This window comes from Homo sapiens, chromosome 1 (genome assembly GCF_000001405.40).
Source record: "Homo sapiens chromosome 1, GRCh38.p14 Primary Assembly".
In the NCBI taxonomy this organism is placed as follows: domain Eukaryota; kingdom Metazoa; phylum Chordata; class Mammalia; order Primates; family Hominidae; genus Homo; species Homo sapiens.
Window position 1 is genome coordinate 32,067,211 of NC_000001.11, and position 21,147 is coordinate 32,088,357.

Genomic DNA, 21,147 nt, shown 5'->3' on the forward strand with positions numbered 1-21,147 from the left:
AACCAATATGATGATACCCCATCTCTATTAAAAATACAAAAATTAGCCGGGTGTAGTGGTACACGCCTGTAATCCCAGCTACTCAGGAGGCTGAGGCAGGAGGATTGCTTGGAGCTGGGAGACGGAGGTTGCAGTGAGCTGAGATCGCGCCATTGCACTCCAGCCTAGGCAACAGAGCAACAGCGAGACTCCATCTCAAAAAAAGAAAAAAAAAGTGTTTTGGCTGGGCGTGGTTGCTCACACCTGTAATCCCAGCATTTTGGGAGGCCAAGGCAGGAGGATCACATGAGTTTGAGATCAGTTTGGGCAACACAGACCCTGTCTCTCTAAAAAAAATGTTTTTTAATTAGCCAGGTATGGGCCAGGTGCGGTGGTTCATGCCTGTAATCCCAGCACTTTGGGGGGCCAAGGCTGGCGGATCACCTGAGGTCGGGAGTTCAAAACCAGCCTGACCCATCCTGGCTAACATGGTGAAACCCCGTCTCTACTAAAAAAAAATAGAAAAAATTAGCCGGGCGTGGTAGCGGGCGCCTGTAGTCCCAGCTACTCTGGAGGCTGAGGCAGGAGAATGGCGTGAACCCGGGAGGCGGAGCCTGCAGTGAGCTGAGATCGCGCCACTGCACTCCAGCCTGGGCAACAGAGCGAGACTCCGTCTAAAAAAAAGAAAAAAAAAAAGCAGCCTGATGAACATGGAGCAACCCTGTCTCTACTAAAAATACAAAAATTAGCCGGGCATGGTGGTGCATGCCTGTAATCCCAGCTACTCGGGAGGCTGAGGCAGGAGAATCGCTTGAACCCAGGAGGCGGAGGCTTCAGTGAGCCGAGATCGTGCCATTGCACTCCAGCCTGGGCAACAAGAGTGAAACTCCATCTCAAAAAAAAAAAAAAAAAAAAAAAAATAGCCGGGTGTGGCCACGTGCACCTGTAGTTCCAGAAACTCTGGGGGCTGAGGTAGAAAGATCACTTGAGCCCAAAAGGTAGAGGCTGCAGTGAGCCATGAACACACAATTGCACTCTAGCCTGGGTGACAAAGCAAGACCCTGTCTTGAAAAGAAAAAGAAAGAGGCCAGGCACAGTGACTCACGCCTGTAATCCCAGCACTTTGGGAGGCCGAGGCGGGCAGATCACGAGGTCAGGAGATCAAGACCATCCTGGCTAACACGGTGAAACCCCGCCTCTACTAAAAAACACAAAAAATTAGCCGGGCATAGTGGTGGGTGCCTGTAGTCCCAGCTACTCGGGAGGCTGAGGCAGAAGAATGGCGTGAACCCAGGAGGCAGAGCTGGCAGTAAGCAAGATCGCACCACTGTACTCCAGCCTGGGTGACGGAGCGAGACTCCGTCTCAAAAAAAGAAAAAAAGAAAGAAATGTCTACTGATCTCTTGACCTTTTTTTTTTTTCCTTTTGAGACAAGGTCTCTGTTGTCGAGGCCAGAGTGCAGCCTCAAAGTCCTGGGCTCAAGGAATCTTCCAGCCTCAGCCTCCTGAATAGCTGAAACTACAGGCATGCACCACCATGCCCAGCTAATTTTTTAAATTTTTTGTAGAGATGGATCTTGAATTCCTGGGCTCAAGTGATCCTCCTGCCTCCACCTCCCAAAGCACTGGGATTATGGGCATGACCCACTGCAGCCAGGCATTTCTTGACTCTTCTGTGTTTCCTTCATTGTCAGCTAAATAATTCTCAAAAGATGGCAAGATGGCCACCAAGACCTCCAAGTTTATAACTTACTTGCTCAGCCAGCCCAGAGGGGAATAAAAATTTCCTTCCCAATAGTTCTAACAAAGATCCTAGGATTGCACCTCATTTGGGCTGACAGGTCACTAATCCCCTCCTACTCCCCAACCACCCCAACCAGTCACTAGCCTTAGGAGGCAGGGATATTGGAATGCTTTGATTTGCCAAGCCTGTGTCTTCTGCCCACAAAGGAACTGCAAAGTAAGGCAACTCCACCAAACCACACAGACTGAGAGAGTCAGAGGAAGAGTAGTTCCCCAAGGGAAAAATCAGTGTTCTTATGAGGAGGAAGAATAGATGCTGAGCAGGCAAATTTAGTAGTCCACCACTACAAGGTGGGCTGGAGCCACAGGTAATAGGTGGGTCACATTCATGGCAGTCCATACAAGTGGACTTACCTCCCCCGCTTTTTTTGAGACAAGGTCTCACTCTGTCGCCCAGGATGAATGCAGTGGTGTGATCATTTCACTGTCATCTCAAACTCCTGGGCTCAAGTGATTTCTCTCCCTTCAGCCTCCCGAGTAGCTAGGACTACAGGCATGCACCCATCATGCCCGGCTAATTTTTAAATTTTTTGTAGAGACAGGGTTCCCCTGTGTTGCCCATGCTGGTCTCAAATTCCTGGACGCAAGTGATCCTCCCACCTCAGTCTTCCAAAGTGTTGAGAAAGTGTTGAGATTACAGGCATGAGCCACTGCACCCAGCCTCTAACAGAATTTCTTTTTTTTTCTTTTTTTCTCTATAAGAATTTCTGTGGCTGGAAAAAAGCACTCCCAGTCCTGCTTTCTTCTTTGCTTGTTGAGCCAGGGATAGTCATTTTCCATCCCTGGGCCACTTTTCCCCTTGAAGGGAAGGACTGACTTGGTGTAAAATCTGTCATAATTGGCCAGGCGAGGTGGCTCAAGCCTGTAATCCCAGCACTTTGGGAGGCCGAGGCGGGTGGATTACGAGGTCAGAAGATCGAGACCATCCTGGCTAACACGGTGAAACCCCATCTGTACTAAAAGTACAAAAAAATTAGCCGGACGTGGTGGCGGGCACCTGTAGTCCCAGCTACTCAGGAGGCTGAGGCAGGAGAATGGCGTGAATCCGGGAGATGGAGCTTGCAGTGAGCCGAGATCGCACCACTGCACTCCAGGCTGGGCGACAGAGTGAGACTCAGTCTCAAAAAAAAAAAAAAAAACTGTCATAATTTAAAAATATACATCTGTTGAATTGGACTCCATATTTTCATTAGTGCAGGCTACATACCTTGGAGTCATCCTTATCTCTTCTCTTCCTCACACACTCCTATCCATTTTGTCAACAAGTCCTGTTTTGTTTTTGTTTTAATTTTTTTTTAGATGGGGTCTTTCTACATTTCCCAGGCTGGAGTGCAGTGGCACTATCACGTCTCACTGCAGCCTCAATTTCCCAGGGCTCAAGTGATCCTCGTACCTCAGCCTCCCAAGTAGCTGGGACTACAGGCACATGCCACCACACCTTGCTCATTTTAAATTTTTTTTTTTGTAGAGACAGGGTCTCACTTTGTTGCCCAGGCTGGTCTCAAACTCCTGGGCTCAAGCAATCTTTCCACCTCAGCCTCCCAAAGTGCTGGGATTACAGGCATCAGCCACCATAGTCAGCCCAACAGATCCTGTAGACTTTACCTTCAAATCCAGAATTCAACCATGTCTCACCATCTCACCCAACCTGGTGCAAACGATCAACATCTCTTGCTAAGATCATTGCCACAGCCTCCTGCCTGGTCTCCCTGCTTCCACCTTGGTGCCCCTGCAGTCTATTCTCACCATACAGCTGGAATAGTTCTTTTAAATAGAAGTTCAAACCCTATAATAGCTCTGCATCTCATTCAAAGTAAAAGCCACACAGCCCTACATGATCTATCCCTTCTCATGTCCTACTCTTATATCTATACCTGTGTCACACTTGCCTCCTTATTTCTCAAACACACCCTCTTGGCTGGGCGTGGTGTCTCACGCCTGTAATCCCAGCACTTTGGGAGACCGAGACTGGCAGGTCACTTGAGGTCAGGAGTTCAAGATCAGCTTGGCCAACAAGGTAAAACCCCGTCTCTACTAAAAAGTACAAAAATTAGCCGGTGGTGGTGGCACGTGCCTGTAATCCCAGCACTTTGGGAGGCCAAGGCAGGCGGATCATGAGGTCAGGAGATTGAGACCATTCTGGCTAACATGGTGAAACCCCATCTCTACTAAAAATACAAAAAATTAGCAAAGTGTGGTGGCACACACCTGTAGTCCCAGCTACTTGGGAGGCTGACGCAGGAGAATCACTTGAAACCGGGAGGTGGAGGTTGCAGTGACCCGAGATCACACCACTGCACTCCAGCCTGGGGACAGAGTGAGACTCCGTCTCAAAAAAACAAACAAACAAAAAAACAAAAATTAGACCAGGCGTGGTGGTGCACACCTGTAATCCCAGCATTTTGGGAGGTCGAGGTGGGTGGATGATTTGAGGTCAGGAGTTTGAGACCAGCCTGGCCAACATGGTGAAACCCCGCCTCTCCTAAAAATGGAAAAATTAGCCGGGCATGCTGGCGGGTGCCTGTAATCCCAGCTACTTGGGAGGCTGAGACAGGAGAATCGCTTGAACCCGGGAAGCGGAGGTTGCAGTGAGCCGAGATCGTACCACTGCACTCCAGCCTGGGCAACAGAAAGGGAGACTCCAGTCTCAAAAAAACAAAACAAAACAAAAACAAAAATTAGCCGGGCATGGTGGTGCACGCCTGTAATTTCAGCTTGTTGGGAGGCTGAGGCAGGAGAATCGCTTGCACCCAGCAGGTGGAGGTTGCAGTGAGCCGAGATCGAGCCACTGCTCTCCAGCCTGGGCAACAGAGACTCCATCCCCTCAAAAAACAAAATAATAAAATAAATACACCCTCCTGCCTGAGGGACCTTGCACTAACTATTCCCTCTGCCTGAAATGCCCCCTTTCTCCAGAAATCTGCACCACTGACTCACTCATTTCCTTCATGTGTTTACTCAAGTCAACTCTGAAGCCTGCTCTGCCTGCCCTATTTAAAACTGCAACCCCATCCCCCTTTCCTGTTTTTCCTTCACACCATTCCCATCTAACATACTACAGAATTTACCAATTTTGTTCATGTCTATCTCCTCCCACTTGACTGTAAGCTCTATGACTATTAATGAAATATCTACTAATTCATTCAATTAATTGAATACTGCTATTAAGTGCCAAGCACTGTGCTAAGCAATGGAGCTACAAGATGACTAAAACTGCTTGTAGGTCTTGTGAGGGAAGAATCCTAATGACAATAAATGTAGCTCATTTAGTCAATGCTTCTCCAAACATCGTGATGGCTAATACTAAAACAGACTCAGTTCTGCATGCTCTATTTCATTTAACCCTCACCGAAACCTACACGGTGACCATCAGCAGCCTCATCGTAAAGCATAAAAAAACAAGATTGCAAGGCTGGGAAATGGCAGTCAGGATCTGAACCACGGTGTTGACAATGAGAACGGTGAGTAACGTCAAATGTGAGAAATATTTAGGACTTAGGCTCACAAAGACTAAGGCAAAGATCGGATGTGGGGGCCGAGGGAGGGAGGAAATGACTCCTGGATTTTGACTGGGGTGGACTAAAGCGCAGTGAGGCCTAAGAGAAGGATGAAGCGCAACGTGGGGCTGGGCTGGAGGTGCCTGCGGACCGGTCAGGGATATGGTCCACCCCTAGGGGAGCGGAGAGGCGGCTCCGCACCCTCCTCCGGTCGCCGCCGCCCCGGTCCAGGAGATGCTGAGAGAAGACACGCACGGGAAGAGCAGGAGGTGGGTTCCGTTCCCCTCCCTCTTGAGTCTCTTCACCAGCAGCTGCAGGAAGGGCGTGGGGGACCGAGAGACAAAGAGCGCGCAGGCACCGCCTCCGTCCGGGCGGCCCCTTTAAGAAGCGCGCGCCAGCTTCCAGCCCGCCTTGTATGCAAATGTAGCGGCGCGGCGGGAGCGCGCGGCTGATACCCGGGACTGGGCTGCGGCGGTTAGTCCTCTCCCGGCCGCCGTCGCCTCCGACATATTGCCCGCAGGAGCTGCGGCGGCGAAGCGGAGAGCACCGGGGGGAGGAGATGGGTGAGCAGAGCGGCTCAGGCTCGGCCTGGCAACGAGCGGGCGCACGGGTTAGGATGGCCAGGCTGCTAATTGCTGCTCCACGCGGACAGGAGCCCGGTGACGGGAGGGGGAGGGGATGCGAGCGCAGACGGGATCCCGCCCCCTCCTGTCGTTTTGCGGGGTGGGGCCTCTGTTGTGGGGGCGGGACATTGGACGGTGGGCGGGGCTTCTAAGACGAAGCCCTGTGGGGGCTTGGGCTTTCGTGAGGACCAGCTCGTCGGGGCTAGAAAGGGGGGCGGGACTTACCAGTGGGCGTGGCTTCAGCGCTAAGGGTGGAGATTCTGGGCAGGGGGCGCTAGTGCAGTCGGCGTTTCTGGGTTGGAGGGGTTACACTGGGGGCGGTGGAGCGGGGAGACTTCCGACTGAGGGAGCCCATTCTGGAGTGGGGCTTCTGGGCTGAGAGGGCTTTTATTGGCTTGTGGGCGGGGTTTCTGGGCTGACAGTTGTGTGTAGGCGGAGCTTCTGGGCTGAGGGGCTTTATGTGGGTGCAGAGCTTCTAAAGAGAGGAGAGTGGGTGTGGGCAGAGCTTCTGGACTGGACTAAGGGTGTTTGTGTGGGATTTTCTAAGCCAAGTATAACAGCGTATGAACAGAGCTTCTGGTCTGGGGGTTTATGGAGGGCAGAGCTCTTCGCCAGGTACTTTTTAGAGACTTGTGGAGGTTTATAATTTTGGGCATACATCCAAGCCCAAAATTGGCTCCGAAGTGTGGGAAACGCTTCCGAGCTGAGATGCTACGGCGTGGGGTGTATGTGAATGGAGGCTGCTGTGTTACTGTGAAGAGGTATGAACAGGTTATAACTTTTTAAAAATATGTATATGTATGTATATATATTTTTTAATAGAGACCGGGTTTCGCCATGTTGCCCAGGCTGGTCTCCAACTCCTGGTCTCAAGCGATCCTCCCGCCTCGGCCTCACAAATTGCTGAGATTACAGTCGTGAGCCACCACACCCAGTCAGGTTGTGACTTTTTTAGGTGCTTAGGAGCTTTGTGCAGAACTTTTGTGCGAAGTGGTGCGTGGGAGCTTGGGCTAGACTGCTCAGCCTAGTAGGTCCAATTTTTCAGTCCACAGCCACAGGATTCTCCCAGCCATATCCTTGACCCTTTATTTAGGCCCTGGGTCCTGCCCATGAGATCCCAGAATGCCCTTTGAGCTGAATCATGGGGCCCTGGATGAAAAAGCTGTCCCAAAGTTACCCAGAGTTATAGGCCTCCAGAAACTTATGTCTGAATGGGGCCCAATGTGTACCAGAGTTGAGAGCACACGACCCAGCCACGATACTGTGACATAGTGTAAGCTGAGTTTCCTAATGTGTGAAAAACCTACCTTGCTGGGTTCATTCACTCATCAACATATACTTGCTGGGCACTGAGGTAGGGGATATAGCAGTGAAAAAGATAAGGTAACTGACCTCATTGACCTTTCATTGTAATAGGACAGACAAGCAATAAGCATATTAACAAATGAGTAAGATAATTTCAGAGAGTGAATTCTGGTGGAAAAAAAGAATAGAAATTGGAGAGAGAGTGATGGGGAGTTACTTCAAAACTTCAGAAATGGCAGTCCGGGAAAGGCTTTCCAGATAGGATATTATAAGTGCTAGAGGTAGCAATGAGCTTGGCTTGCTGAGGAAAGAAAGATCAAGATGTTTAGAGCATGGGGCGGGTGGTAGAGGGTGGGTGTGAGGTAGAGAATGATAGGGGATGAAGCTGAAGATGTAAGAAGGGGCCAGATCATAGGTCTCAGTGAGGATTAAATGATAAAGTGAGATACTAGGTGACTGGCAGCTGGTATCATTGCTGTTATCCTTGATATATGCCCCCTGGCTTGAGGCTCTATTTTATGTTGAGCCCCACAGGAGGACGAAGAGGTCCCAACAGGACATCTTACTGTCGAAATCCGCTCTGTGAGCCGGGATCCTCGGGGGGCTCTAGTGGAAGCCACACTTCCAGTGCATCGGTGACCAGTGTTCGTTCCCGCACCAGGTAAACCACCTCTCTGTCTCACCCCTCACTGTGGCCTCACAGGGACGATGTGGACAGGGCTCTCTCTGACTGGATTCTAAGATGTGAAATCCTAGATGCCAGTGGGGGCTTAGAGGGGAGTAAGCAGCAGAAAAGATCCAGAGGGAGCTCAGTTGAGGGTGATCACTTGGACAGATGCAGTGGGACATGGTAGAATAAATCCAAAGGCCTGGATTCTAATTACAGTTCTGCTCCAGATTTGCTGATGGCTTGGACAAGTTGCCTCCCTTCTCTGGGCCTCCTTTTCCTCATCTGTAAGATGGACCTAATAATTCTTTCTCTCCTAGGGGGTGTTGGAAGACCTGAATAAGATTAGGGATAGGAAAAGGCTTTGTCGGGTTCCTTTGTCTGACAAGCAGGATTAGGAAGACCCCGTCCTTGCTATGAGCTGCTTTTCTGATCTTATCCCACAATCCTTTGCCTCAGAAGCCCTTCCTGGTAGGATTCTCAGGTCAGCTGCTGATGTTGTTCCCTCCCCACTGTCAGGAGCAGTTCTGGAACAGGCCTCTCCAGCCCTCCTCTGGCCACCCAAACTGTTGTGCCTCTACAGCACTGCAAGATCCCCGAGCTGCCAGTCCAGGCCAGCATTCTGTTTGAGTTGCAGCTCTTCTTCTGCCAGCTCATAGCACTCTTCGTCCACTACATCAACATCTACAAGACAGTGTGGTGGTATCCACCTTCCCACCCACCCTCCCACACCTCCCTGGTAGGTACCCAACAAGGGTGTGTGTGTGTGTGTGTGTGTGTGCGTGTGTGTGTATGTGTGTGTGTGTTTCTTTTGGTTTCAGTTTAGCATATCCTACTAAGCACCACTGTGCACTTGGCTCCATGCTGAACATGGAAGGTGCTGAAGGAACAGGAAACTGATGATTCACTGAATACTCCTAGTGTGTTTAGTAGCACATTGGGCACTGTAAGTGTATGGGAGATGAATCTGACAAAGATTTTGCCTAAAGGAGCTCAGAGTCCTTTTCTTTTCTTTTCTTCTTTTTTTTTTTTTTTTTTTTTTTTTGAGACGGAGTTTCGCTGTTGTTGCCCAGGCTGGAGTGGAATGGCGCAATCTTAGCTCACTGCAACCTCCGCCTTCCAGTTTCAAGCGATTCTCCTGCCTCAGTCTCCCGAGTAGCTGGGATTACAGGTGTGTGCCGCCATGTCCGGCTAATTTTGTATTTTTAGTGGAGACAGGGTTTCACCATGTTGGTCAGGCTAGTCTCGAACTCCTGACCTCAAATGATCCACTCGCCTCAGCCTCCCAAAGTGCTGGGATTACAGGCGTGAGCCACCGCGCCCGGCCAGGAGCTGAGAGTCTTAATCCAGTAGTGGAGATGAACCACAGGGATACATGAGTGCTTCAAGGGGAGGAAAGACTTCAGTGCAGACACAGTATAGGGACAGGGGCATGTGTGAGCAGAGCAAGAGGGCTCACATACCACTCTCTTATCCCCAGGGACTGTCCCACTTCCCTTCTCGGGGTCCTGTCCTACTCCTGTAGGTAATTTCCTGGCCTGACTCAGCTGGAGGCCGATGAAGGTCAGAGAATGAGGACAGTCTCTGTGGAAAGAAATGGGCAGCGGGAGGTGGGTATGAAAAAAGCCTGCATATGGGCAAGGGGCCCACATGACCCCCAGGCCTCTGCCCCCTGACAGAACTTCCATCTGATCGACTTCAACTTGCTGATGGTGACCACCATCGTTCTGGGCCGCCGCTTCATTGGGTCCATCGTGAAGGAGGTGATTGGGTCCTAGAGGCTGGCCAGGGACTTTGGGATTCCCCTTTTCCCCTGGGGATGCCAAGGAAACATGCCCAGCCCTTCAGCCTTAGGGTATTTCCTTGGGGCTCCCTTTGGACTTGGTTGAAGAACATTAGTTACATCCCATCTTGGAGTTTACTGGGCATCAAAGAGAAGGATTTACCTTGCCAGGTTCTGCCCAGCCTGCTGTGCCACCTCTCCCTGGGTGGGATCACAGGTCATGCTGGGTGGGATTTGGGCACAGCCCCTTCGGCCTCCATCCAAGGCCCCATCCCGTCCTATCTTGCCCCGACCCAGGCCTCTCAGAGGGGGAAGGTCTCCCTCTTTCGCTCCATCCTGCTGTTCCTCACTCGCTTCACCGTTCTCACGGCAACAGGCTGGAGTCTGTGCCGATCCCTCATCCACCTCTTCAGGACCTACTCCTTCCTGAACCTCCTGTTCCTCTGCTATCCGTGAGTACCCCTCACTTCACCCCTCACTGCCCAGCACCTGGCCCCTGACCTCTGCCCTGACCGTAGCTGGCTCACCAGGCCTCCATATCTGGAAGATCGGAGGCAGGCAGCAACATCCTCTCACATTGTCAGATGACACTCACTCACTGAGGTCAGGATAATTAGCCTTTTTTTGCAGACGAAACTGAGGTGGCATAATTTACCCAGCTCTCACTATGGGGGAGGTCAGAATGGGACTCAGATCTGCATATATATCCCAAAGGAACATTCCCAAGAGGGAATGTATGGGCTTTGTCTCCCTCGCTCTTCCTTTCCCCTCCCTCTGGTTCTTTCCCTTTCTCTGTGTCTCTCTTTGTGTATCTCAGTGTTTGTGTAATCTCTTGGTATCTCCCTGAGTCTGTGTGCCAGCAAACAGCTGCATGGTTGCATGTCTCTGTGTGGGTGTCTATGCATGAAGCGTGTGGGTGTCTATGCATGAAGCATGTGTGTGTGCCTGCATATGCATGTGTGTATGCCTTTGTGCCTGTTTTTGCTCTCTTTCTCCGTCTCACCAGACCCTAGATTGTTGAGGATGGAGAGACTGTTTCGGGGATGTGCCCAGGACTGCCCATTTCTCGCCTTGCATCAGGGAGAACTTTGGTGAGGTGTTGGATCTGGCTGCTTCTGGGGCAGGCTGCTGGCTGCCTGAGCATTAACAGTCGTTTCCCAACCCCCAGGTTTTCTGGTTCACAAAATTCCTCAAGCTGGGTCAATCCTGGTCTCTGGGAAGCTTCAGAGCTGGCACCTCCCCCTTTCTACCCTGCATGTCCAAAAAGGCACTGGCATGGGAGCCCTGTCACACTTCCTTCAGTTATATCTACTTTTTAATTATAAGAGTGACATGTGGCCAGGCACAGTAGCACAAACCTGTAATCCCAGCACTTTGGAGGCCAAGACAGGCAGATTGCTTGAGTCCAGGGGTTTGAGACCAGCCTAGGCAACATGGCGAAATCCTGTCTACTAAAAACATAAAAAACTAGCCAGGTGTGGTGAGGCACGCCTATAGTCCCAGCTACTCAGGAAGCTGAGGTGGGAGAATCACCTGAGCTCAGGAGGTCGAGGCTGCAGTGAGCCGAAATTGTGCCACTGTACTCTAGCTTAAGCAACTGGAGTGAGGTCCTGTCTTTAAAAAAAAAAAACATTATAATGTCTTATAAAAACATTAAACTTTACAGAAGCTTTTAACATGGAAAAAGAAAGTCCCACATAGTCTTATTCCCCCAGAAATCCATTACTGGCAGCAATTTTCCCAAAATATTTTCTGTGCAAGTACACACACATGCAGTTTTTTTGTTTGTTTGTTCTTGAGACAGTCTGATGTCACCCGGGCTGGAGTGCAGTGGCACGATCTCGGCTCACTGCAACCTCTGCCTCCTGGATTCAAGCAATTTTCCTGCCTCAGCCTCCCAAGTAACTGGGATTACAGGTGCCCACCACCACGCCTGGCTACTTTTTGTATTTTTAGTAGAGTTGGGGTTTCATCATGTTGGCCAGGCTGGTCTCGAACTCCTGGCCTCAAGTGATCTGCCCACCTTGTCCTCCCAAAGTGCTGGGATTACAGATGTGAGCCACTGTGCCTGGCCACATGCAGTTTTTTAAAAAAGAAAAATGGTATTATGCTATGCATGATGTACAATTTACCACACTTTTCACTTAATCATATAACAGATATTTTTCTATGCCAATACATACGGGTCTGTCTCATTATTTTATTTTATTTTAGAGATGAGGGTCTTGCTGTATTGCCCAGGCTGGAGTGCAGTGGCTATTCACAGGTCTGTTCCCACTACTGATCAACACAGGAGTTTTAACCTGTTCTATTTCTTTCTTTTTTTTTTTTTTTTTGAGATGGAGTCTCGCTCTGTCGCCCAGGCTGGAGTGCAGTGGCACAATCTTGGCTCACTGCAAGCTCCACCTCCCGGGTTCACACCATTCTCCTGCCTCAGCCTCCTGAGTAGCTGGGACTACAGGCGCCTGCCACCACACCTAGCTAATTTTTTGTATTTTTAGTAGAGACAGGGTTTCACCGTGTTAGCCAGGATGGTCTCAATCTCCTGACCTCATGATCTGCCCGCCTCGGCCTCCCAAAGTGCTGGGATTACAGGCATGAGCCACCGCGCCTGGCCAACCTGTTCTATTTCTAACCTGGACCAGTTCATCCCCTCCTTAGGCAATTATGTGGTCCCCCACTCCCAGGAGTTCACCATATGGATGCTGAACTTCTATGCAGGCACCTCATCGGCATAGCACATTATAGCATAGAATTCCTCGGCTCAAGCAATCCTCCCACCTCAGCCTTCTGAGTAGCTGGGACTATGGGCATGCGCCATCATGACCTGCTGCCTCATTTTTTTAATGGCCTCGCAGTATTCTATGTTATAGAATTTTCACAATTTATTTGTCTTCTATTGGCAATTTTTTTTTTTTTCTGAGATGGAGTCTTGCTCTGTTGCCCAGGCTGGAGTGCAGTGGTGCAATCTTGGCTCACTGCAGCCTCCAACTCCCGGGTTCAAGCAGTTCTCCTGCCTCAGCCTCCCAAGTAGCTGAGACTACAGGCATGCTCCACCAAGCCCAGCTAATTTTGTATTTCTAGTAGAGATGGGGTTTCTCCATGTTGGTCAGGCTGGTCTCAGGTGATCCGCCTGCCTTGGCCTCCCAAAGTGCTGGGATTACAGACATGAGCCACCATGCTCGGCAATTTTTTGTATTCTTAGTAGAGATGGGGTTTCACCGTGTTAGCCAGGATGGTCTCGATCTCCTGACCTCGTGATCCGCCCACCTTGGTCTCCCAAAGTGCTGTGATTACAGGCGTGAGCCACCGTGCCTGGCCTACTGGCAAACTTTTAAGTTGTTTCTAGCTTTTCCTTATTCATAACAATGAATAATTGCATATGTGTCCAGTATCTCTGCACAGTAGATTCCCAGAAGAATTAACTACACCAAAAGATGGATTCATTTAGATTTTTCATAGTTATTAACAAATTGTCCTTCGAAAGGGTTGCACTGGTTAGAACTTAAGAGTTGCCTGTCGGACGCGGTGGCTCATGCCTGTAATCCCAGCACTTTGGGAGGCTGAGGCGGGTGGATCACGAGGTCAGGAGATTGAGACCATCCTGGCTAACACAGTGAAACCCCGTCTCTACTAAAAAAATACAAAAAACTAGCCGGGCATGGTGGATGGCACTTGCAGTCCCAGCTACTCGGGAGGCTGAGGCAGGAGAATGGTGTGAACCTGGGAGGCGGAGCTTGCAGTGAGCCAAGATCGCACCACTGCACCACTGCACTCCAGCCTGGGCAACAGAGTGAGACTCTGTCTCAAAAAAAAAAAAAAAAAAAAGAGTTGCCTTAATTTGACAGTTTATGGTTACTACCTGGTGAATCTTTTCTTCATGGATGCAGATAACACCCAATGTCATATTATGCTTTATTTTTCATTATTTAATTTAAAAATGTTTATTGACCAAATATAAACATATTGTAAAAAATTAAATCCAATAGTGCTGAAAAGCTTATAATGAAAACCATTGCTGGGCACGGTAGCTCATGCCTGTGATCTCAGTGACTTGGGAGGCTGAGGTGAGAAGATTGCTTTAGCTGGTGGATTTGAGGCCGAAGTGAGCCATGATCACACCAGTGCACTTCAGCGTGGACAACAGAGTGAGACCCTGTCTCTAAAAATAAATAAATAAATAAATAGAAAAACATTAGTCTCCAATCCCGCCTCCAGATTTTTAGTCCCACTCTTCATAGAAAAACATTAGTCTCCAATCCCGCCTCCAGATTTTTAGTCCCACTCTTCAATAGCAGTCTCTTTTACTTTCTGGGTTTTTTTATTTGTTTGTTTGTTTGTTTGTTTGTTTACAGACAGAGTCTGTAAACCTATTATCCAGTTCTAAAGTGGCACTGCACTCCAGCCTGAGTGACAAGACCCTGAGTCAGGGTCTGGCTCTGTTGCCCAGGCTGGAGTGCAGTGGTGCAATCTCGGCTCACTGCAACCTCTGCCTCCCAGGCTCAAGCCGTCCTCCCACTTCAGCCTTCTGAGTAGTTGGAACTACAGGCATCAGCCACTGTACCTAGCCTGCTTATTCTTTTTAAAAATTTATTTATTGGCCAAGCGTGGTGGCTCACGCTTGTAATCCCAGCACTTTGGAAGGCCAAGGTGAATGGATCACTTGAGGTCAGGAGTTCAAGACCAGCCTGGCCATCATGGTGAAACCCTTTCTCTACTAAAAATACAAAAATTAGCCAGGTGTGGTGGTGCACGCCTGTAGTCCCAGCTACTTGGGAGGCTGAGGCAGGAGAATTGCTTGAAACTGGGAGGTGGAGGTTGCAGCGAGCTGAGTTTGCACCACTGCACTCCAGCCTGGGCAATAGAGTGAGACTCTGTCTCAAAAAAAAGAAAATTATTGATTTATTTTAGAATTGAATAAGAGGTTTACATAGTTAAAATTCAGAAGGTTTAAAAGAGTATACCATGAAAAAGTCTCCCCTTGACTGCTGCCTCCCAGCCACCCAGTTTCCTTTCCAAGAGGTAATTATCAATGTTTTTGGTTTCTTGTATATCCTGGAAACAAATGTTCTACGCATATACAAACATACCACATACACACATATGCAAGTATATTGATTCCCTGCAATGACAGATGATTTAGCTCACGATCCCATCCTTACTGTTCCCAGTAATTGATAGCTTTTAATATTTTTAAGTTTCTGTTGGTTATTTTCATCAATAGTATAAGTATCCCTATACTTTTTTTTTCCATCAACAATAGTATCTTGAATACTTTTTATGTAAGACAAGAATATTAGGCACCCTATCCAACCACTTTTCCTCCCCTCTTCCTCTTTTCACTTCCTGGCAGCTGTATTTTTACTTTTATATCGTCAAGCTTGACATTCACATTCTCCTATGTAACCACATTTAAGCCTTCCATTCTTTGTCTAAGCCTAATTCTGAAAATTAAAAACCAGTATGTGGCTTTGATATAATTATGTGTATGAAAATATCATTCACTCCAGGGCCCAGTAGTATGCATACATGACATTTCTTCTCTGTAGTTACAGAGTTACAGTCTTGGACCTCTTTATTTATTTATTTTTATTTTTATTTTTTTTGAGATGGAGTCTCTCTCTGTCACCCAGGCTGGAGTGCAGTGTCACAATCTCAGCTCACTGCAACCTCCGCCTCCCAGGTTCAAGCAGTTCTCCTGCCTCAACCTCCCGAGTAGCTGGGATTACAGGTGTGCACCACCACGCCCAGCTAATTTTTTGTATTTTTAGTAGAGATGGGGTTTCGCCATGTTTGCCAGGCTGGTCTCGAACTCCCAACCTCAAGTGATCCATTCATCTTGGCCTCCCAAAGTGCTGGGATTACAGGCATGAACCACCAAGCCCAGCCAGGAACTTTTTTTGTTTTTTGTTTTTTGTTTTTTTTTGAGACGGAGTCTCGCTCTGTCGCCCAGGCTGTAGTGCAGTGGCACGATCTCAACTCACTGCAAGCTCTGCCTCCTGGGTTCACGCCATTCTCCAGCCTCAGCCTCCCGAGTAGCTGGGACTACAGGCACCCGCCACCACGCCTGGCTAGTTTTTTGTATGTTTAGTAGAGACGGGGTTTCACCGTGTTAGCCAGGATGGTCTCGATCTCCTGACCTCGTGATCCACCCGCCTCAGCCTCCCAAAGTGCTGGGATTACAAGCGTGAGCCACCGCGCCCAGCCTGGTTTTTTTTTTTTTTTTTTTTTTTTGAGACGGAGTTTTGCTCTTGTTGCCCAGCCTTGGTGTGCAATGGCGCCATCTCTGCTCACTGCAGCCTCCGCCTCCCAAGTTCAAGTGATTCTCCTCCCTCAGCTCCCGAGTAGCTGGGATTACAGGCATGCGCCACCATGCCCAGCTAATTTTGTATTTTCCGTAGAGATGGGGTTTCTCCATGTTGGTCAGGCTGGTCTCGAACTCCCGACCTCAGGTGATCCACCCACCTCAGCTTCCCAAAGTGCTGGGATTACAGGTGTGAGCTACCACGCCTGGCCGGCAGGAACATTTTTTTAAAGGACTTCTTTTTTTTTTTTTTTTTTTTTTTTTTTTTTGAGATGGAGATTCGCCGTTGTTGCCCAGGCTGGAGTGGAATAGTGCAATCTTGGCTCACTGCAACCTTCACTTCCCAGTTTCAAGCGATTTTCCTGCCTCAGCCTCCCGAGTAGCTGGGACTACACGCGCCCGCCACCACGCCTGGCTAATTTTTTGTATTTTTAGTAGAGACGGGGTTTCACCGTGTTAGTCAGGATGGTCTCGATCTCCTGACCTCGTGATCCGTCCATCTCAGCTTCCCAAAGTGCTGGGATTACAGGTGTGAGCCACCGTGCCCAGCCTTAAAGGACTTCTTTAAAGGACCTGTACTCCCAGCTACTCAGGAGGCTAAGGTATAAGAATCGCTTGAACCCAGGAGGCAGTGGTGCAATCTCAGTTTATTGCAACCTCTGCCTCACTGGCTCAAGCCATCCTCCCATCTCAGCCTCCCAAGTAGCTGGGACTACAGGTACAGGCTACCATGCCCAGCTAATGCCAGAGGTTACAGTGAGCTGAGATTGTTCCACTGCACTCCAGCGTGGGCAATAGAGCAAGACCCTGTTTCAGACACACAGACACACACACACACACACAAATGTTCCTAGTGTCAAGGTGAAATGATTTTTCTTACATTCTATCAGTTACTTAAAATCATAGCACATTTTAGTTTGCTTCATGTTTACACCATAGCTTTCTTATATGGCTTTTTATTTTTCTTGGACTTTCTAATTGCCTTTCTTTTTTCTTATTGACAAAAGAATGATGAGCCTTCATCATATCCTCAAGTTTATCCAGCCTCTCAGTCATACTGCCTGTTGCCTGGAGTCCATTTCCTTCTCCCTGCTTCCCCCTACAAAGGCATCCCTCCTGGAGCCCTTCCTCCTCCTGCTGCAGTCTGGAGTGTTTGCTCTTTAGGTCTGCTGTACAGCTCTCAGCCTGGGACTTCCCTTTGCTGCCCTCCTGGGTTGGACCCCCTGCTTCCTGAATCCCATGTCTTCCTCTTTCTTGGTTTTCTTATTTTGCTGGAGTAAATTATCAGGTAATTACTTTAACAATGGGTACGTTGGAGATGAGTCCTTGCATGTCTAAAAGTGTGTTTATTCTGCCCTCATACTTGATTGATAGTTTGGCTGAATGTAGATTTCTTTTTTTTTGTTTTTTTATTTTTGAGACAGAGTCTCGCTCTGTCGCCCAGGGTGGAGTGCAATGACACGATCTCAGCTCACTGCAACCTCCGCCTCCCGAGTTCAAGTGATTCTCCTGCCTCAGCCTCCTGAGTAGCTGGGATTACAGGCACGCCACCATGCCCAGCTAATTTTTGTATTTTTAGTAGAGACGGGGTTTCACCATGTTGGTCAGGCTGGTCTCAAACTCCTGACCTCGTGACCCACCCACCTCAGCCTCCCAAAGTGCTGGGATTACAGGTGTGAGCCATCGCACCCAGTCTCAGTGTAGATTTCTAAGTTCAAATTCACATTCTCAGAACTTTTGCAGTTATTATTCCATTGTCTCTAGTATCCAGTGTTGCTAGTGAGAAGTCTGGTGCCAGTTTGAGTTTGATTCCAATTCTTTTATAGATGACTTGTATTTTCCTTTCTGAAAGCATTGAGGAATATTCTGTTTATCTTTTGATTACTTGAAATTTCAAAGGATGTGTCTGTTGTGGGACGTTTGTCATTCATCCTTTCAGGACTCTAGGACTTTTTTAACCTGGAGATTTGAGTACTTCTTTAGCTTGGGGAAATTTTCCTTTGATATTTCTTTGATAATATCTTCCTTTTAATTTTTTCTATTATCTCTGGATTTCTGTTCATCAGATGGTAGACCTCATAGATTGGTCATCTTTTTCTCCTATATTTCTCTAATATTTAATCTCTCTCTCTCTCTCTCTTTGTATGTGCATTGCCTTTGGAGAGATTTCCTCAACTTTATCTTCTAGCTTTTTTACTGAGATTTTTTCAGCAATCATATTTTTCATCTCTAAGGCCTCTATGTTTGCTGATTGTTCTTTTCTCATAGCATACTATTCTTGTTTTAAAAATCTCTTATTTGGCTGGGCGTGGTGGCTCACGCCAGTAATCCCTGCACTTTGGGAGGCCAAGGTGGGTGGATCACAAGGTCAGGAGTTCAAGACCAGCCTGGCCAACATGGTGAAACCCTGTCTCTACTAAAAATACAAAAATTAGCTGGGTGTGGTGGTGCATGCCTGTAATCTCAGCTACTCGGGAGACTGAGGCAGGAGAATTGCTTGAACCCGGGAGGTGGAGGTTGCAGTGAGCTGAGATTGCGCCACTGCACTCCAGCCTGGGCAACAGAGCGAGACTCTGTCTCAAAAAAAAAAAAAAAATTCCCTTATTTTCCTCAATTTTGTCTTTTCACTGGGGTCAATTTTTCTGTTTCATGCTGCTTGTTTTCCAAGTATAGTTGGCTTGTTTGCTTGTCTCTTTATATGTAAAAATGAAGGACTGAGTAGCAGGAGTGCAGTTTCTTTCTCTCTGTCATTGTTTAAGGGGGTAAGAGCTTTGACTGGAAACTTTAAGTACATGGGCAGGGCACACTGACTGGCAGGCTTTGCTTTGAGGATGAGTGAGTGAAGTGCTGGTTGTTAGGCTTTGAGCCTCCGTAGGCCAGAAAGGGAGTGGTGGGGGTGTTACTCTAAGATATCGCCATTAGAGACCTCAATTCTCAGTTTACTCAATTTCTTTAGAAAAGAATCCTTCAGGGTGTGTTGTATGAGGTGAGTAGGGGAATAAAGGGACTGACTCTTATAAATAAACATAGGTCATTGTTTAATCCCATTTATTCATACCTGCTCCCCACTTCATCTTCTATCATATGTGCCCACTTCAAGGCAGAGTCTCTCTTGGGTCACTCTGGGTAGATAAGCTCCCACCTCCAGTCCAGTTCGCTCATGCCATATTCTAGACTTGTACCGTCCAGTTGAGTAGCTACTAGCCCCCCTGGTTATTGAGCACATGAAATAGGGTAGTCTGAGTTGAGATGTGCTCTAAGTGTAAAATACACACCGATTCTGAACCCTTAGTACACACACAAAAAAGAAAGTAGGCTGGGCATGGTGGCCCATGCCTGTAATCCCAGCACTTTGAGAGACTGAGGCAGGCGGATGGCTTGAGCTCAGGAGTTTGAGACCAGCCTGGGCAACTTGGCAAAATGCCATCTCTACCAAAAATACAAAAATTAGCTGGGCATGGTAGCCTGCACCTGTAGTCCCAGCTACTTTGGAGGCTGAGGTGGGAGGATGGCTTGAGCCTGGGAGGTGGAGGTTGCAATAAACTGAGATTGCACCACTGCACTCTAGCCTGGGAAACAGAGCCAGGCCCTGTCTCAAAAAAAAAAAAAGAGAGAGAAACTGAGGCTGGGCACAGTGGCTCACACCTGTAATCCCAACACTTTGGGAGGCCAAGGCAGGGTGGATCAGGCCCAGGAGCTTGAGACCAGTCTGGGCAACATGGCAGAACCCTGTCTCTACAGAAAATATAAAAATTAGTTGGGCATGGTGGCACGCACCTGAAGTACCAGCTACTCGAGAGGTCAGAGGATTGCTCCTGAATAGCTGGGACTACAGGTGTGTGCCAGCACCTGAGCCTAGGAGGTAGAGGCTGCAGTGAGCCATGATTATGCCACTGCCCTCCAGCAGCCTGCGCAACACAGCAAGACCCTGTCTTAATTAAAAAAAAGAAAGTAAAACATCTCAAAATATTCATTATATGTTGAAGTGATAGTATTTGCATGTATTGGGTTAAGTAAAATAGAATCTTAAAATTAATTTCAGGAGGCTGATGCAGGAGAATCTCTTGAACCCGGGAGGGGGAGGTTGCAGTGAGCCGAGAATGCACGACTGTACTCCAGTCTGGGGCACAGAGTGAGACTCCGTCTCACAAAAAAAAAAAAAAAAAAAAAAGGCCGGGTGCGGTGGCTCACACCTGTAATCCCAGCACTTTGGGAGGCCAAAGCGAGCGGATCACCTGAGGTCAGGAGTTCGAGACCAGCCTGACCAACATGGAAAAACCCCGTCTCTACTAAAAACACAAAATTAGCCAGGCGTGGTGGTGCATGCTTGTAATCCCAGCTACTAGGGAGGCTGAGGCAGGAGAATCGCTTGAACCTGGGAGGCAGAGGTTGCAGTGAGCCGAGATCATGCCACTGCACTCCAACCTGGGCGACAAGAGTGAAACTGTCTCAAAATAATAATAATAATAATTTCATCTCTCTTTTTTTTTTTCTTTTTTTTTTGAGACGGAGTCTGTCACCCAGGCTGGAGTGCAGTGGCACAATCTCTGCTCACTGCAAGCTCCGCCACCCAGGTTCACACCATTCTCCTGCCTCAGCCTCCCGAGTAGCTGGGACTACAGGCGCCTGCCACCACGCCCGGCTAATTTTTTGTATTTTTAGTAGAGACGGGTTTTACTGTGTTAGCCAGAATCGTCTCAATCTCCTGACCTCGTGATCCATCCGCCTCAGCCTCCCTAAGTGCTGGGATTACAGGCATGAGCCACCACACCTGGCCCATCTCTTCTGTTTTTTAATGTGGCTAAATTATGTGACTCTGGTGGCGGGCGCCTGTAGTCCCGGCTACTCAGGAGGCTGAGGCAGAAGAATGGCGTGAACCTGGGAGGTGGAGCTTGCAGTTAGCTGAGATCTCGCCACTGTACTCCAGCCTGGGTGACAGAGCCAGACTCCATCTCCAAAAAAAAAAGCCAGGCACGGTGGCTCATGCCTGTAATCCCAGCACTTTGGGCGGCCGAAGTGGGCGATCACGAGATCAGGAGATTGAGACAATCTTGGCTAACATGGTGAAACCCCGTCTCTACCAAAAATACAAAAAAATTAGTCGGGTATAGTGGCGGGCGCCTGTAGTCCCAGCTACTCGGGAGGCTGAGGCAGGAGAATGGTGTGAACCTGGGAGGCGGAGCTTGC

At 48.6% G+C, this 21,147-nt stretch overlaps 1 protein-coding gene and 1 non-coding gene across 15 annotated transcripts in view, besides 2 other annotated features; both read left to right on the top strand.

Annotated features, from left to right (window-relative positions):
• Positions 89 to 883: an enhancer, noted in NCBI's record as "H3K4me1 hESC enhancer chr1:32532900-32533694 (GRCh37/hg19 assembly coordinates)". NCBI's record gives its function as "activates a minimal SCP1, AML or CMV promoter by ChIP-STARR-seq in naive H9 embryonic stem cells {active_cell/tissue: H9 hESC(naive)}" and the evidence as "EXISTENCE:reporter gene assay evidence [ECO:0000049][PMID:30033119]".
• Positions 4,821 to 21,147, top strand: part of TMEM39B (transmembrane protein 39B) — a 30,833-nt gene continuing 14,506 nt past the window's right edge. For 6 of the 14 annotated variants that reach the window (XM_047423840.1, XM_006710725.5, XM_006710724.3 and 3 more), the window contains exons 1-5: positions 5,729 to 5,841; positions 7,741 to 7,867; positions 8,393 to 8,612; positions 9,553 to 9,636; positions 9,954 to 10,108. In XM_047423840.1, coding sequence (XP_047279796.1) covers positions 5,838 to 5,841; positions 7,741 to 7,867; positions 8,393 to 8,612; positions 9,553 to 9,636; positions 9,954 to 10,108 — 590 coding nt within the window. In that variant the 5' untranslated portion in view covers positions 5,729 to 5,837. Of the gene's footprint in view, positions 5,243 to 5,728; positions 5,842 to 6,290; positions 6,663 to 7,740; positions 7,868 to 8,392; positions 8,613 to 9,025; positions 9,045 to 9,179; positions 9,437 to 9,552; positions 9,637 to 9,953; positions 10,109 to 21,147 lie in introns of those variants that run through there. The other 8 variants (NM_001319678.2, NM_001319679.2, NM_001319677.2 and 5 more) reach the window with 7 other exon arrangements.
• Positions 5,128 to 5,733: an enhancer, noted in NCBI's record as "NANOG-H3K27ac-H3K4me1 hESC enhancer chr1:32537939-32538544 (GRCh37/hg19 assembly coordinates)". NCBI's record gives its function as "activates a minimal SCP1, AML or CMV promoter by ChIP-STARR-seq in primed H9 embryonic stem cells {active_cell/tissue: H9 hESC(primed)}" and the evidence as "EXISTENCE:reporter gene assay evidence [ECO:0000049][PMID:30033119]".
• Positions 19,739 to 19,797, top strand: MIR5585 (microRNA 5585). Its single transcript, NR_049850.1, has one exon. It is a non-coding gene; the product is annotated as a microRNA 5585 (primary transcript).